Source organism: Homo sapiens, chromosome 5, assembly GCF_000001405.40.
Source record: "Homo sapiens chromosome 5, GRCh38.p14 Primary Assembly".
NCBI lineage: Eukaryota > Metazoa > Chordata > Mammalia > Primates > Hominidae > Homo > Homo sapiens.
The window spans coordinates 7,397,326-7,409,981 of record NC_000005.10 but is presented as its reverse complement, the minus strand read 5'-3'; the positions used below and the strand labels follow the sequence as shown (position 1 = coordinate 7,409,981).

Here is a 12,656-nt window from a genome sequence, read left to right as displayed (position 1 = left end):
TGTATATAGATAAATAGATAGACAATTTTTATTCTTATCTACATACATAGTCATACTCCATTTTACCATGAGGTGTGAAAGGAATAAATAGGCAATTATAATAATTTTAAACATCTATAAAACTAATAAAATAGCCTCAAACTGTATAAAGCAAAAATTTAGAAAATCAGAGAAAAAAAGTAAACTAATCTACTAAGAGCAGACAATTTCAGCTCCCCATCTTGCTATTGATAGGCCAAGCAAATAAAATAAAAATGCAAACAAGAAAAGATGTTAAAGGATTTGAACATCATAATTAGTAATCTTGGCCTAATTGAAAAATACAGAATTCCACATGCAACCATTAGGTGGAACAATATTCTTCTGAAGTGCATGTGGAATATTTATAAAAATCATGTGTCAGGCAACCTCCAAAGATTTCAAAGAAGAGTTATCACACAGAGCCATGTTCTTTGATTACAGCATAATTTATCTTAAAAGTTCATCACAAAAATGTAAATTAAAAGTTACCACATATAAGATAAAAAGCACAATTCTGAATAACCTTTAGAATGAAAAGTAAAACATAATGTGAATTTTATTTTATTTTATTTTTAACATTTAAGTTCAGGGGTAATTGTGCAGATTTGATACAGAAGAAACTTGAATCCTGGGGGTTTGTTGTACAGATTATTTCATCACCCAGGTATTAAGCCTAGTACCCATTAGTTATTTGTCCTGATCCTCTCACTCCTCCCACCCTCCACCCTCCTCAGATAGGCCTCAGTGTGTGTTGTTCCCCTCTATGTGTCCACGTGTTCTCATAATTTAGCTCCCACTTACAAGTGAGAGTATGCGGTATTTGGTTTCCTGTTCCTACATTAGTTTGCTAAGTATAATGGGCTCCAGCTCCATCTATGTCCCTGCAATGGACATGATCTTGTTGTTTTTCATGGCTGCATAGTATTCCATGGTGTATATGTACCACATTTTCTTTATCCAGTCTACCATTGATGGGCATTTAGGTTGATTCCATGTCTTTGCTGTTGTGAATGCTGCTGCAATGAATATTCACATAAATGTGTCTTTATAATAGAATGATTTATATTCCTTTGGGTATATACCCAGTAATGGGATTGCTGGGTCCAATGGTATTTCTGTGTTTAGGTCTTTGAGGAATCGTAACGCTGTCTCCCACAATGCCTGAACTAATTTACACTCCACCAAGAGTGTAAAAGTGTTCCTTTCTCTCCACAACCTCACCAGCATCTGTTTTTTGTTTTTGTTTTTGGTTTTTTGTTTTTTTGCTTTTTTACTTTTTAATAATAGCCACCTGGCTAGGCACGGTGGCTCACGCCTGTAATCCCAGCACTTTGAGAGGCTGCGGTGGGTAGATCACCCAAGATCAGGAGTTCGAGCCCAGGCTGGCCAACATGATGAAACCCCGTCTCTACTAAAAATGCAAAAATTAGCCAGGCATGGTGGCACATGCCTGTAATCCCAGCTACTCAGGAGGCTGAGGCAACAGAATCGCTTGAACTCGGGAGGCGGAGGTTGCAGTGAGCCGAGATTGTGCCACTGTATGCCAGCCTGGGTGACACAGCAAGACTGTCTCAAAATAACAATAATAATAATAGCCACCTAATGTAAATTTTCAAAGAATAATGAAAACAGTGCACATCAACATTTGTGGTGCGTGGTAACAGTGGTGTCTGGTGGGAAAATTACAAGTTCAAATACTGAACTGAGTTGCTTAGGTGTCAGTTTTGCTGCTTGTTACCTTTCCCAGAATCCCCTTCCCTCTAGAGTTCTTGGTTAGAACTGAACAGAAGGGGCCAGGCACGGTGGCTCATGCCTATAATCCCACCCATTTAGGAGGTTGAGGCGAGCAGATCACGAGGTCAGGAGATCAAGACCATCCTGGCCAACATGGTGAAACCCCGTCTCTACTAAAAAAATACAAAAAATTAGTTGAGTATGGTGGCACATGCCTGTAAACCCAGCTACTCGGGAGGCTGAGGCACAAGAATCACTTGAACCCAGGAGGCGGAGGTTTCAGTGAGCCGAAATTGTGCCACTGTACTCCAGCTGGATCGACAGAGCGAGACTCTGTCTCAAAAAAAAAAAAAAAAAAAGAACTGAAGAGAAAGGAATTTGTGCCAGAATCTGTGCCAGAATTTTGAGGCAACAGTGAGGCAAGTCTTCATGGTCAGACATGACGATGGACACTCACGGGGTCCCAGGCCGGCTTCTGCACATCCTCACTCTCCCTGGCTCTATGTCCTGCTCTTCTTCCCAACTTGTGGCCATTGATGAATGGGGGCCCAGCAGACACTGGCTGCTGAAGCACAGTGTCAGCAGCTACACAGAAGCAACAGATGCCCATCGACCTTTTCACCAAGCTGCACCACCTTTCGCCACCCTTTGGCTGACTAGACATGTGATACGGTTTGGCTGTGTGTCCCCACCCAAATCTGATGGTTTAAAAGTGTTTGGCAGTTCCCCATTGCTCGCTCTCTCTCTCTCTCTCCTGCCATCATAAGAAGACATGCCTTGCTTCCCCTTCCCCTTCCCCTTCAGCCACAATTGTAAGTTTCCTGAGGCTTCCCCAGCAATGCAGAACTGTGAGTCAGTTAAATCTCTTTCCTTGATAAATTACCCAGTCTCAGGTCGTTCTTTATAGCAGTGTGAAAACGACTAATACAACATGTTTGTCTTCAGATTTCCCTGAATGTTCTGACTTTTCCACCCAAACCAGTGCCTTACAAAGACTTCTGAGTAACTGTGGAGATAATTATTCTTCTTTTTGAGAAAGGAAAAATTGCTGTCTTGTTACCAGACCTTAGAATGGTCTGAACGTTGACAATGGGCCACACAGTCACCATGCAATCTGCGACGTCCACCACTGTTGGAGTTCATCCGACCCTCAGATAACCCATTGTTGAAAACCAAATGGATAAAGGTGCCTTGAAGTTAACTTCTAAATAAGAGTGTGGTGCCAGGAAATTATTTCAACTGAACAAAATGGCACAGGGAAAAGTAAACTCAGAGTGTGTTTCCCATACAGGCTTAAAGTACATAGAAGCTGAAAGAGAGAGAGACAGACATAGCATGAGAAGGCAGAGAAAAATAGCAAACCTTTCAAGAAGCATGTCTTGAAAAGAACTCTGGCTGTGACTATTGACATTACGAGGTTGAATAAGTTTTGAGAGATTTGTGTTCCTCAAAAAAAACTAACCTGAACTATGGATGTTCTAGACTTAAGAGAAACTGTGCCTTCTTATTTATGGCAGACAAGAGGTGAGAAAGTCACTCAGCCCCCAAGAAGGGAATATCCAAATATTCAGTTCAAATGTAGCTAAGAGGATGGTAAATAAAGAAGAAGGACCTCCCGGGGAAGATTCAAAGGCCACATAAAACAGAAGAAAAGGGGACTATCTCCTAAAACAAGAGTCTGGTTGTAATGAAGAAGCAATCTCTAGTCTCTGGGCCAGGGACCCTCACCCTGCCTGCCCAGGTGGACTTGGAATTGCTGTGAGCCAAGGGCCAATGAGTTTCATCCTTCTTTTGGGAGAGCAGAAGGGTTTACTGTGGTTATCCTAGGTATATGAGGTGGCTGGGTAGATGGCTGATAACAAGTCTTTTTAGACCACTGGTCTCCAGATCACAGAAGCCACACCCAGGCTTGATGGAGAAAAGACCATTCATTGGTCCCTTTGAACAAAAGAGTGCCCTTCCCTTAGAGATCCTAGATTCTGAGCTTACTGCCCTTCACAGACAAGACTTTAGGGTCATCTCTCCTGAAAAGGGAGTATGTATATTTTCTTCAAAAGGGAATAAATTGGCCTGGCACAGAGGCTGATGCCTGTAATCCCAGCACTTTGGGAGACTGAGGTGGGTAGATCATTTGGGCCCAGGAGTTTGAGACCAGCCTGGGCAATATGGCAAAACTCCATCTCTACAAGAAAAAAAAAAAATTAGTAGGGCACGGTGGCACACACCTGCGTCCCAGCTACTCAGGAGGCTGAGATGGGAGGATAACTTGAGCCCAGGGAGGTCAAAGTTGCAGTGAACTGAGATCGTGCCACAGCACTCCAGCCTGGATGACAGAGCAAGACCCTGTCTCTAAATAAATAAATAAATGGGAATAAACTATATATTGGGTGACCAGGTAGGTGGACTGCTGTAGTAATTAGGGTTGCTCAGCATTCTAGTTTGCTTTTCTGTTACAGCTTTTTTAAAAATCCAAATTGGCTCCAATAATCCCCTTCCCTGTATCATGCCCATGTGTAATTCTCTCCTACACTGAGTCTGGCTCTAGCCACATGGCTCCATTTGGCCAATCTAATGGCAGGTGCATGGCACAAGCAATAACTTGAACAAAGACTTGGGCAGTAGGGCTTGTCCCTTTCCTCTTGCTCTTTGCAAGCTCCTGAACTCCATGCAAAGAAGCTCAGGCTAGCCTGCTAAATGAGAGGAGACAGCCAAGTGACCTGGCACCCCACTCAACAGCCATGGTGGATAGCCTGCCAGCTGTCCACACACATAAATGTAGCTATTTTGAGTAATCCAGCGATTAACTAACCTGCCAGTAGAGCACACAAACATGAGACAGACCAGCAGAGATCAACTGGGAAACCTAGGTCAGAAGAACCAAGACCTGACCCACATAATTATGAGCTAAAAAAAAAAAAAAAAAGAGTAGTTCAAATCTGTTAAGTTTTTGGTTGTTACACAGCACAAGTTAATTGATACATCCTTCTTCCAGGCATATGAAAGTTTGGCATGGCTATGTAAGGTAACATAGCAGATGGTATTTTCCACACGTGGGGACAATCTACATTTCATCCCATGTATGCTTGACATTCCTTTCATCAAGTTAGGTTCTATCCCCTTAGACTGACCACCCACCTGAGAGGGTCTTCACGGTGCCTCAATCAATACAGTATGGCAGAATTCCCTGACTTGAGAGACAGGGTCATAAAAATGTCATGCAATTCCATCTTTTTCTTTTAGGATGATCATTCTTGAAACCAGATCCCATATCAAGAGAAAGTCAAGTAATCATGAAGAGAGGCCACATGAAGGTGTTCTGGCCAGCAGTGCCAGCTGAATCTCAGTTGCAAGCCAGCATGACCACCAGACAGGGAAGTGAGCAAACCTTCAACGGAGGCAAGCCCCAGCCTTCAAACCACCCCAGCCGATGCATGGGGCAAGGACGAGCCACCACTGGCAAATGTGCCCAAACTGCAGGTTCAGGAGGAAAATAAATGATGGTGGTGTTTCCAGTCATTAAGTTTTATGGTGGTTTTTAAGGCAACCAAAGACAACTAAGAACATTTACTCTGGCCAATAAAAAAATGAATGAAAGTGATGTGTCACTTCCATGTGGAAAGTGTTCATCGCCAGTAGTTAGACATGGAAGCAAGCTTTTCCTCCTTGGTGCAACAATTAGGAAAGAAGTGTGTTGTGGGATGTGCCCTCCTTCATCCTGAAACCCTGAGTGACAGGACTGTCAGCAGAGTCCCTCTACTGAATCATCTTTACCGTGTATCTTGAGCAAAATATAAACATTTGTTGTGTTGTGTTAATCCAGGAAGACTTTGGAGTTGTTTCCATGACATAATCTAATATGTTCTGACTGACGTAACAGGAGATAATAAAGATAAAAACACACACAAAAGAAGTAATGGATAAGATAAACAAAGAGGGATGGTTCTTGAAAAAGCTAAAAAGACATCTGGTGAGATTATACATGAAGGCATATAAAAACAATATTATAAATAAAAATCAAAAATAAAGCATATGGAAAACATCAAAAGGAGAACAATATTATCAAAATGAGCATGCAGTTAAATTTGAGAATTTGGATGAAATGCAAAAATTCCTAGAAAAACAACTTATTGAAACTGACCCAAGAAATAAAATTAGAAATACTAGACAATCTTACTACTATCAAAGACACTGAAGCAGAAGTTTCACTGTCCCCACAACCAACAATACTTATTACAGCGCTTTAGTAATTTTGTGTGTGTGTGTGTGTGTGTGTGTGTGTGTGTGTGTGTAGCATTGAAAGGATAAAAACAAAACAAAACAAAAACTTAGTCAATGGGGCAGAACAGCCCATAACCAGCCAACCATATGTAGAATTTTGATATATGACAGATATGAAGAAAGTAATTGAAATGGATCAGTGGCAATTGATTCTCCACAAGGAAAAAATAGGTAAATGAATCTCAATTTCTATAACACACCACACATATATATAATTTATGTGTATGTGTCTATATATGATAAAATGAACAAAAAGACAAGTAAAAGAATGATAAAATCCAATTTCAATATGAAGTTTACATTTGAGGATAGAGAGTAGAATGGAATTAGTTGAGCATATAGAAAGAAATTTCCTAACTAGAGATATTCTAGTTCAAAATGAATTCATGAAAATTTATTTTACTATAAATGAGCCACATAGAGATTAATAAGGATTATGCCTGAGAATCAAATATTAATTGAATTAATCAAATGAGTAATTCTATTTTATGCACCTAAAATTCAATTCCAAAGAGCATGGAGGTTGTGTATTTGAATGCACTGCAAGTCAATGATGGGAAAGAGTCAGACATTAGGTTGACCATATGTCTGAACTATGCTAACATTTCCTCATTATCTGTTTTATTCACATTAACCTGATCTCCGTATTTAATTTTTAACATTAATAATTTTAATTAGTTCTAGTAATGGACTAGTCTACAATTTTATTTCTTTCATAATGACCACAGATCATTAGTAACTTGATATCTTAATTATTTGCTCTTTTTTTCTCTATATACCTAAAAAAAAAATACAGGACACTAAAAACACACACACGCACATATACACACACAAAAAATAATTCAGTGTTGGGAGTAAGCACACAGGAATAAAAACCAGCACCTTTGAGCTCTGGCTTGTCCTAGCTGCAATACCCCAGCATCATGTCTGAGAGACAGCAAAGGACATTGATATAAATGGGTAGAAATCATAATTCCAAGATCTTGCAGGCAGGGCTCCCATTACAATAGTGCTGATCTGCCATCTTTTCTACCAGGAACTTTCTATGGGGTGATGACCCTAGAGACCTGATTTATTCACGGGACTCTCCCAGAAAATAATGACCACCTTGAGAAATCTTCAGAATTACAATCTTTTAAAATGAAACGATTGTATTATACTTTCTGTCTATATGTTTCAAATGCAATAAATTATTTACTCAACATATTTTAATTGCCCTATAATTGAACTTTCCCATTTCCAGCACCAAGCTTTTCAGAAGTGACTTGGTTCAACTCTGAGATACAATCTGCCTTACACATCTCTATGAGCCATGGTCAGGTCTGTGTTTTCATTCTCTTTGTCTTGGCACAATTGTTCTAGAACTCTAGGCAGAGTCAGAAAACTAGCTGGTAAAGCAGCCCACAATGGTTTTTTCGGTTGAGGTTTTTCTTACTGTGTCTACCCGACTCTCACTTGCATCTGGCTCCTGGAGACAGAAGTATAAGCAGAAGCAAAAAGCGGGAACCAAAGGAACTATGTCTAACATTGCCAAAAACAGTTGAACAAACAAAGTCTTCTCCTAACCCTCTCTTCATCCTCTCCCTTGTGATTTTTTATTGCATCCTTATACCAAAAAAGGACTGAAGAATTAGCACTGGCTTAATTTTGTCAAATGGACCAAACCCATGAGCTAACTTAATCCTTTTCTGTCCTCCCAAACGTTTGGATATAAGGCACGGAGATGTGGAAGAGACTTTAAGATTAGGGGAGCCACTCAGGAAGATCCAGAAAGTGGAGAGGGTCAGAGTTGAATGCCCTCAGCTCTTGTGGTCCTTAGATATGATAATGATGATAGCTTGCCCTAGAGCAGTCACCAGTATTTAAGGGATCATGTCAACATGCAAGGGGTGAGCCAGTTCAGGGTGGACTGCCATCCAGGGTGATGTCAATCACAGTGCTTGCACCCCCAACCCAGGTGCTCTAAATACTCAATGAAGGAAGAAATGAGTCAGGTTCAATGAATTGTCTCGATGTCAATATCAAGTGGCAGGAAGAACCCATATACCAGTGGAGTATGCCCAACATCCAGCTCAGACTCTCCTGTCACTGACAATTTCTCATGAAATATATCACACACAAAACACCTTCAACACAGGAATATCGCAGCTCTAACAGTGTTGTTCCATTTTTAGTAGAATATTCGGTTTTAAATTATCAGTAAGAATCACGGCTTAATAGGAATGATTCTCACACCCATGGTGCATATGCCAGGACTTCTCAGACAACAAAAGCACAGCCACATTTGAGGCTCCACTTGATGGGGAAGACACTGGGGACATTTAGCATAATGAAAATAAATAATGCCAGCACGTCAGTGAATTAATTATGAGGAAGCATCTCTACTGAATTCCTTTAACTCTGGAAGAGAAAAACATTAAAAGGTAACTCCATTACACAGAATGAAGATTGAGGCTGTTCATATCAGTAAGAAATTTCAACAAGAAAACTTGCTATTTTCCAAGACCAGCGCTGGGAATTCTAGACCTTCAATCTTCTCTAGCAAAGTCACCCAGGGAAAGTCAAATGCCCTGTGACCCTGTGACAGCGTAGCAGTTGCATGACCTTGAAGAGATGAGTTCACTTCTCCGGGTCTCAGTTTCATCATCTGTAGAATGAGCACCTTTCTGGCTCTAATGCAATGTGACTACAGTATTCCCTCACAGTAACAGTGAAAATGCAGCTACAAAGACCTAGGAACAGCTAACAGTCCTGGAGGCTTACTTTATGCCAGGCATTGTTCTAAGGGCTTTGCATGTACTAATTGAGGACATCAGCTTACAAGGCAGGTACCATGCCATTTTACAAACAAGGAAACTGAGACATAGGTTAAACAATTTTCCCAAGGTCACAGAAGTGGAAATGGACAAAGCCACAACTCCCACACAGGCAGATGCTCTCAACCATTTCACTCCACTGTCCTTTCAAAATGGGAAAGGAAGGTGCCATGTATATATTTAATCATACATTTCAATATCCAAAGGATGCTTCCAAATCCTTTCTAGCTAGGCCTCTAAATTGCAACCATCTTTCCTGCAGAAAATTACAGTTTTCCCTTGGCCTTTGTTATACCACAAGTAAATTATAACTAAAACGACTTAGAGAATTACTGGTTGCAAATTACAAGCACCTGCAGAGTAAGATTTCCTGCGTGTATAGAAATGCATAAAAAGATGAATCTTTAGTTACCTTTACTGCAATACCTGAGAACATGCTCTATTCCCTTCCACAAGGGAAACTAGAGAAAGCATGCACAGAATTTCCTGCTTCTTAGAGGGGATGTTGGGCACATTTGTCTGCCCTCCCATCCTTCAACCCCCAAGGAAGGAGGTGATTCTTCCACCTATTGGGGGTGCTGAAAGATTGTCTGGAATAATAAAGTTGGTTGGCCTCTACAAATAATTAGCTATGTTAATTTGTTTTGGAAGAATAAGATTCTTTCTCTATGTACACACAAAAGAACCTCTCTGATAAATCTGCCCTTCGAAAAAATATCTGATGCTGGAACATTGATTCATCATAAAAATACCTCTGGTTATTGTTTTAAATATCTAGCTCATTACATCACCATAAAAGAAACAAGGTGGGCCATATTCTCAGTCACATATATTACCTATTTATAGTTAATAAAAGTGCATACTCTTATTTCAGTATCATACTAAAAAAAATCTACTTTATTTCTCTGACTACTTAAAATTATGGAATAAAATTTTTTCATTTATATTGAAATATTGACTATTCCTAATCATAAGTTTTAGCCAAAACAAATCTGGCTGGAGCCAGCTGGTATCCTGACAAAATAAAAAAAAATTATGTCAACCTTTCTTAACACTGACAGGCAAATTTTGAAAACAGCTGGCTGATTTTGGATATAATAAATGAGAGTATTAAATTCTGAAAAAGGGTTTTCATGCATTCAGTAATAAAAACCAGTTCCAAAAAACAAAGTAGAAAGAGAAAAAAATGAGAAAAAGAAAAAGAAAAAAATTAAAAACCAAGTGACATGATAAGATTTATGACTTAAAATTTCATTTCATTAGCTCTAAGTTTTCTGATGCCAGGGGTCAATTTTATTTTGTTCCCCATGCCCAGCATTATTGCCATTCCTGGCACTTGGTAGGCACTCAACAAGCTGATGGTGAAAAAATTATAAATCAGATTTTTCATGAATACTCTCCATGATAAACAGCAGAAACTATTACTCATATTATTAAACAGAATATTTAAATTCAAGACATGCCATCAAATTTTATATTTACTGAGTTTCCTGTCTTCAAATAATTCTTCACAAATATGGGATTAAAACTACTTAATAGTTTTCATGTAGAAAATAATAAATTAACCAAGACTGTGAAGTTTCAATTCAGAATTTACTTTTACAGCATATAAAACTTTGAGGATTACTTTAACTTTAGGGCCAACAATGCAGAATCAAGGATTGATCAAAGGTTGAAATTAAATGAAATCACTTTGTGAACAATATCAATTAGGGAAATATTAAATCAAAATGAAGCTTGCTTTTTTCTTTTTAGTATGTATTCCAAATCACTTCTACAAAGGCAATTACATACAGCAAAAAAATCTCTATGTACTTGCATTATGCTAAGAGCATTTTGTAGTCCAAATGCTCTAGGAGGCTAGGGATGTGCTTTAAGCAGATTGCCAAACTTCTATAAGAACTGATGAAAGTCTAATGGAAATCAAAATCAGGCAGATTCAGGGGGAAAAAAAGGAATCTGTCCAAGATTTTAGGCAGCAAAAATAGATCTGCTTAGCTCCTGAATTGCATGACAGCCCAGCTATTCAAGTAAAGTGCTCCAGCATGGAAACCTTGGCAGGGTCCCAAAGCAGCCATTCCCACCTCCCAAGGTAGACCTCTCTGAAGCGAAGCCCTGCCAGCCCAAGAAATGAACTCATCTCTAATTACATGAACACAGCTTTACCTTAGCCCTATTCTACCTTCAAATGTTCCTACCCCAGCCATCGCTGACTATCTGGATGGAGAACGTGTTTTGGAAAGCAGAGATGCTGGTTATGGTGTTTCTAAAATCAAAATAGAAACAGGCTGTTGGGAGCCCAACATCATCCCAGTCCCGACTCAGGTCCGGTTTCAGAACACAGGGCACATTTCTCCTAGGCATAGCTCCTTCCGACTTGGTCCTGCAGCTGGTCTCTGCCTGAAGGTGGCTTTTCTATCAGACTGAGTAACCCTCCCTGATTCTGGAACATTTCTGCACAGCTTATCTCTTTGAAGGGTGCACATAGTAGACATGAGACCATGAATTAGGTATGGCCAAGGACAGGATTCATTTCACTGTCTCTGGACCTCACCATAGGTGACAGCCATGCTGTGGGAAATGCCCACTTTGTGCTTAAAATGATTTAGCTGAAGGCAAGAGGAGCATTAAAATGATTGATTTATCAAGGAAAAGTAAAGATGCGTGGAAAACGCTTTGAAAAGGGTACCACTAACACATATGCACCAAGCAAAATGGAACATAAAGGAATTGAATATAGACACACAAATACAAAGAACAAAGACAATTCAAAGAAGGGTGCTTTAAGCCCAATAATGCTAAATCTCTGAGTGACCCATTCAAGAATCTCTATCAATGAGGTTTAAGAAATTAGAATTCTCCATCACAGAAAACAAAGTGGTGTGTGCAGAGGAAGCATGAATTTCACACTTGTCTTTAAATATATTAATGCTGCTATAAATAGGTCATCACCTGCTCCTTTCCATTTAGAAGAGAACAAGCCAGAGCAGGTTTGAATTACAGGTTCAAGAGAATCACAAGCTGAAATGCCCCAGCAGAACAGATTTCCAAAGGAAAACTCTGATGTTTCTTTTCTTCCTGGCAAGTAAAAAATAATAAGTAGATGACTTTAGAGATCCTGCTTGCCCATGAGACTGAGCAGAAGTCTCTCCCCAAGTCCTTTTTGTTCCTAAAAGTAGTAAAGAGAGATAAAAATGCCATTCCAGAGAGCATAGAAGGCTGGTTACATGTGGAGAGAGTGAGGGTTTCTCCGGACTCCTATCTAGACTACAGGGATCAAAAGTTACTCTCTGCTCTAGGTTTGATAGTACAAGAGCCAGTGTGTGATCTGTGACTTCATGGCCTCCTACATTCTATTTCTATTCTTACCTCATTGAACTCAATCAGTAGACAGCTACCATTGAGTGGTGTGGGGGAATTTTTTTATTTTTTAAAAACATGATGGTAACAATTCTTCCCATGCATAACATTTGAACACCATCTGGCTCCGGACATCCTAAACAAATTGCCAAATACCAAGGACAGCTATTTTATGCATGGTGAAATATAAGCAAAATCCACTTCTTTGGTGGTGGACACATATAAATATAGGCACATATTTATATTCTAAGCTCAAAATACATCACCCAGTGGACACATTCACAGATCAACCACTGACTAAAAAAAAAAAAAAAAAAAAAAAAAAAACTCACTGGTGGATAATCAATGCCTCGCACAAAATCTGCACATGCATGTCACAGGCAGTGCAAAAGTTTGAACCACACACTCAGAGATCAGTAACAGGAAGTTATCGCCATCTACAGACTT

The 12,656-nt window shown here is 39.6% G+C and overlaps 1 protein-coding gene across 5 annotated transcripts in view; it reads right to left on the bottom strand.

Annotated features, from left to right (window-relative positions):
• ADCY2 (adenylate cyclase 2) overlaps nt 1–12,656 on the bottom strand; it is a 433,944-nt gene that overhangs the window by 420,100 nt on the left and 1,188 nt on the right. The window lies entirely within an intron of this gene.